We start from the raw sequence: 5010 nt of genomic DNA, 5'->3' as shown, positions 1-5010 counted from the left end.
ATGTTAGAGGCCTAGTACTGGATAAATGTGTAAAGTATCAATTAAGGCTCATAATAAGCCTTGATCGCTTATAATGGAGGTAAGATTCAGGGAAATGTCCCAAGGAGTTTCCTGTGGATGCCTGAATAAATCTTCCCCCGACACCATACCTTCCTCTCTTGCCTGTAACTCCTTACTATGAACCAAAGAAATAGGTAGGTAATTGCTCACAAAGGGAGCTACAAGAAGATTTAAAAGTCACTTACAAATTCAACTAAGGTATTTCAACAAAATAGACTGTTTTCCTCAGGAAAATGGCATTCCATTATAATTTATAAAATTATAAAATTTCTTAAGCAAACTTCCCAGACCAGTGTAATTAGGAAGGTATTTAAGACTCTCCTTTCTTCCTAACTCTAATTGTCCCCGAGTTATTTTCTTTTTTTTACTTTAAAACTAAGCAATATAGGCTCACGCCTATAATCCCAGCACTTTGAGAGGCCGAGGTGGGCAGATCACCTAAGGTCAGGAGTTCGAAACCAGCCTGGCCAACATGGTGAAACCCTGTCTTTACTAAAAATGCAAAAATTAGGCAGGCATGGTGGTGCATGCCAGTAATCCCAGCTACTCAGGAGGCTGAAGCAAGAGAATCTCAAACCTGGGAGGCAGAAGTTGCAGTGAGCCGAGATTGCGCCACTAGACACCAGTCTCGGCGACAGAGCAAGACTCTGTCTCAAAGAAAAAAACAAAAACAAAAAGAAAAGAAAGTTAAAAAATAAAAATAAAAAAAAACTAAGCAATACTTTAGCTTTTCTTAGACTCTAGAGCCAGTCTTGTGATGTTCAGTTGGATAGCTCGGAGCTTTCCCTCGGGCCACTTCATCATTGTTTCTCGTTATCAGCTAATTAAAATGAGACTAGTAAAAGACAAGCTTTCACAATTGGACTCAAAAGAGAAGACAGCCGGAGATTGGGTCGTCTGTCCCTACCAAACTTACAGACTTTAGATGATTGGAGCAGATCATTTACATTTGTGCAACCAGTATTATACCTATTTTCAAAAGAAAGTCTATTACTCCTGAAATCATCTTGGGGTTTGACTTATCGAACTTATTTCTTCAAGTAAAATAAATTCTAAAAGCATTAAGAACCTTTACATGACATAGAAAATGGTTGATCTTTTGAGAGAAAATGGCCAGGCCAAAAAAAAAAAAAAAAAAAGAAAGAAAGAAAGAAAAGAAAAAAGAAAAAGATTGAACTACACAATGGAAAAAAGGATGCTTGATTTTGTTGAAATGACTATAAACTTTAAAATGAGAGACTCACAGCTTACAAAATGTCTCCTCTCAGATGCAATTCTTTTTTAAAAATTTAATCACTTTCTCAGCCGTGTACGTTTACAGTATATTCAAATGTAAATCAAATCACTAAGACAACGAAACCATTCACAATTTATAAACTGTGTCCATAAAAAATTCCATTTTGCCAATAATAAACAGGAACAGTCTCTGCATCACTTTGATTTCCATAAAGAAGTATTATCAGAGGTTGACACGTTATGTTCTTTTTTTAAAAAGACTATTTATTTATTTATTAATTTAGACAGAGTCTCACTCTGTTGCCCTGGCTGGAGTGCAATGGCCCAATCTCGGCTCACTGCAACCTCCGCCTCCCAGGTTCAAGTGATTCTCCTGCCTCAGCCTCCCCAGTAGCTAGGGTTACAGGCATGCGCCATCACTCCCAACTAATTTTTGTACTTTAGTAGAGATGGGGTTTTACTATGTTGGCCAGGCTGGTCTTGAACTCCTGACCTCAAGTGATCTGCCCACCTCGACCTCCCAAAGTGCTGGGATTATAGGCGTGAGCTACCATGGCTGGCCTATATGTTATCTTTTTTAAATAAAACATCTTATTAATTTAGACCCCTGGGACCCTTAACTATTATATCATGACTTTAGTTTTGCAAAGTCTGCCCACAAGTAGGTTTTTTTTTTAATGTATTAAATACCTAACGCTGCTATGCGAACATACTGTCACCAGATGGCAGTTGTATGCCACAGCCCTCAAGGTTTGATCTATAAGACATAAGCTAAGACTTGTTTCATTGAAGTAGAGATATTATCTTTCTTTTACCTTGTTCATATCAAAAGCATATAATAAACTTAAATAATAACGAAATCTGAAAACACTTTTTTTTTTTTTGAGACAGAGTTTCGCTATGTCGCCCAAGCTGGAGAGCAGTGGCATGATCTCGGTTCACCACAACCTCCACCTCCTGGGTCCAAGCGATTCTCCTGCCTCAGCCTCCAGAGTAGTAGCTAGGATTACAGCCATGCACCACCATGCCCAACTAATTATCGTATTTTTAGTAAAGACAGGGTTTCACCATCTTGGCCAGGCTGGTCTCGAACGTCCTACCTCAGGTGATCTGCCCGCCTCGGCTTCCCAAAGTGCTGGGATTACAGGCATGAGCTACCACGCCTGGCCTGAAAATGCCACACAAATGCCAAACAAGTGAACTCCAGGATGCAATTTTATTTGCACAACATATCTTACTCTAACCAAATACCAATGTTTCATTAGAATGCTAATCTTTATATCTGTTATCACTTCGACTTAATAGTTCTTCCTGATTTTCTTTTATCCTCAATTTACAGTCTTGTCCCACACCCCTCGCCCAACACTCAGTTAGTCAAACACCATATAGCCATGGCAGCCTAGTTATCCCAACTAAAGGAATAGCATCTCTTATGGTCTCTTCATCTCCCTGAAGCTTTCTGGTTCTTTTATTTTTCTCTGTTTCTTCCTCTTCGCTTAGGATATATACTTTACTCTCCATAGTTCCTAGAAAATGTATCTTCAAGTTTGTTTCTAATTTTAAAAATTTGTTTCATTTTTCTTGTTGAGAATAATTTACACTGCTCCATTGCTGGAACTGACTAAATCCTTTTGTGGTTCATGAGTGCGATGATTGGTTTTTCACACATATATGTGAGATGTGCCTCCCTCAAACCTTGTTAGGAGTAGAAGGTAGGCACATTACCTATCTGACGTGAAAAAAAGAAGAGAAAAAAGTAACATATCTAAAAGGTGCCCAAACAACCCAATTCAAAAATGGCAAAGACTTGAATAAATATTTCTCCAAAGACAATATACCAGTAATAAGCACATTAAAAATACTCAACATCATTAGTTATTAAAGAAATGCAAATCAAAACCACAATGAAATACTACATCATACCCACTGCAATGGTTATAAACAAAAAAAATCGAAAATAAGTGTTGCTGAGGATGTGGAGAAATTAGAACCCTCTTACACTGCTGGTGAGAATGTGAAAATAGTGCACCCACTACAGAAAACGGTTCGGTAGGCCATGCACGGTGGCTCACAACTGTAATCCAGGCACTTTGGGAGGCCGAGGCAGGTGAATCATTTGAGATCAGGAGTTCGAGACCAGCCTGGCCAACATGGTGAAACCCCATCTCTACTAAAAATACAAAAATTAGCTGGGCATGGTGGTACACGCCTGTAATCCCAGCTACTTGGGAGGCTGAGGCAGGAGAGTTGCTTGAACCCGGGAGGCGGAGGTTGCAGTGAGCTGAGATAGCACCACTGCACTCCAGCTTGGGCGACAGAGCCAGACTCTGTCTCAAAAAAAAAAAAAGAAAGAAAAAAGAAAATGGTTTGATCGTTTCTCAACAAGTTAAACATAGAATTTCCATATGATTCAGCAGTACCATCCCTAGGTATATACTCCAAAATGAATTGAAAGCAGGGACTCAAACAGATACTTGTACACGCATGCTCATGGCAACATTATTCACAATAACCAAAAGGTAACACAACCCAAGTTTCCATCAGTAGATGAATGGATAAACAAAATGTGGTATATACATACAATGGACTATAATTGAGCCGTAATAAGGAATGAAATTCCCATACATGCTGCAACATGGATGAACCTTAAACACACTATGCTAAATAAAATAAGCTTGACACAAAAGGACAAATATTGTATGATTCCATGTGTATAGGATACCTAGAATAGTTAAATGCATAGAGAGAGAAAGTAGAATAGTGGTATCCAAGGACTTGGGAGAAGGGAAATGGGGAGTTAGTGTGTAATGGGTACAGAGATTCAGTTTGGGAAGAGGAAAAGGTCTAGAAATGGATGGTCACGATGGTAGCACAATAATGTAAATATATTTAATGTCACAGAACTATACACTTAAAAACGGTTACAAAGGTAAATTTTATGTTCAGTAATTTACCACAATTAAAAAAAAAAAACTTTAAAAAATGCCCATGGGCCACTTGCTGATAATAGAAGCCTAAATAGGAATTGCCTCAATTTAAAGAAGAATATGTCGTGAAGCAGGAGATTTTGAATAAAGGAAAATCAAGCATAGCTTTACCTGGCTGTGTCACAAACCCATTAATTCAGAACTTGTGATTATTCAGACCAGTGTTGATTTTCTGGGTCTAGCAAAGCATTTCTTCTCATCAGTGTAAACAAGAGGCAGAATTAATCAATTTAACAGAACAATCTATAAGTGCCTCAGCATATTTAGAGTCTATGAGAAAATTAATGTTACTAATTATAAGTACTTGTCCCACAGTTGAACTTCCCATAAATTTCAGTATTTAGGGCTGCCTGTTAAGCAATGTAACTTTGTTCATCCAGTGTGCTCTTCTCTTTTTTTTTTTTTTTTTTTTTCTGAGATGGAGTCTCGCTCTGTCACCCAGGCTGGAGTGCAGTGGCTCAATCTCGGCTCACTGCAACCTCTATCTCCCGGGTTCAAGTGATTCTCCTGCCTCAGCCTCCTGAGTAGCTGGGATTATAGGCACGCACCACCACACCTGGCTAATTTTTGTCTTTTTAGTAGACATGGGGTTTCACTATGTTGATCAGGCTGGTCTCGAACTCCTGACCTCATGATCCGCCCACCTCGGCCTCCCAAAGTGCTGGGATTATAGGCATAAGCCACCGTGCCTGGCCACTCTTCCCATTTATCTAAAACATTTTTGTTT

At 38.9% G+C, this 5010-nt stretch overlaps 1 pseudogene; it reads left to right on the top strand.

Annotated features, from left to right (window-relative positions):
• Positions 1-2921: 2921 nt before the first annotated feature.
• LOC124905274 (uncharacterized) lies at positions 2922-3031 on the top strand (annotated as a pseudogene).
• The last annotated feature ends 1979 nt before the right edge of the window (positions 3032-5010 follow it).

Source organism: Homo sapiens, chromosome X, assembly GCF_000001405.40.
Source record: "Homo sapiens chromosome X, GRCh38.p14 Primary Assembly".
Taxonomy (NCBI): Eukaryota; Metazoa; Chordata; class Mammalia; order Primates; family Hominidae; genus Homo; species Homo sapiens.
Note: the sequence above shows the minus strand (reverse complement) of the source record. Positions and strands in the feature narration are given on the sequence as shown.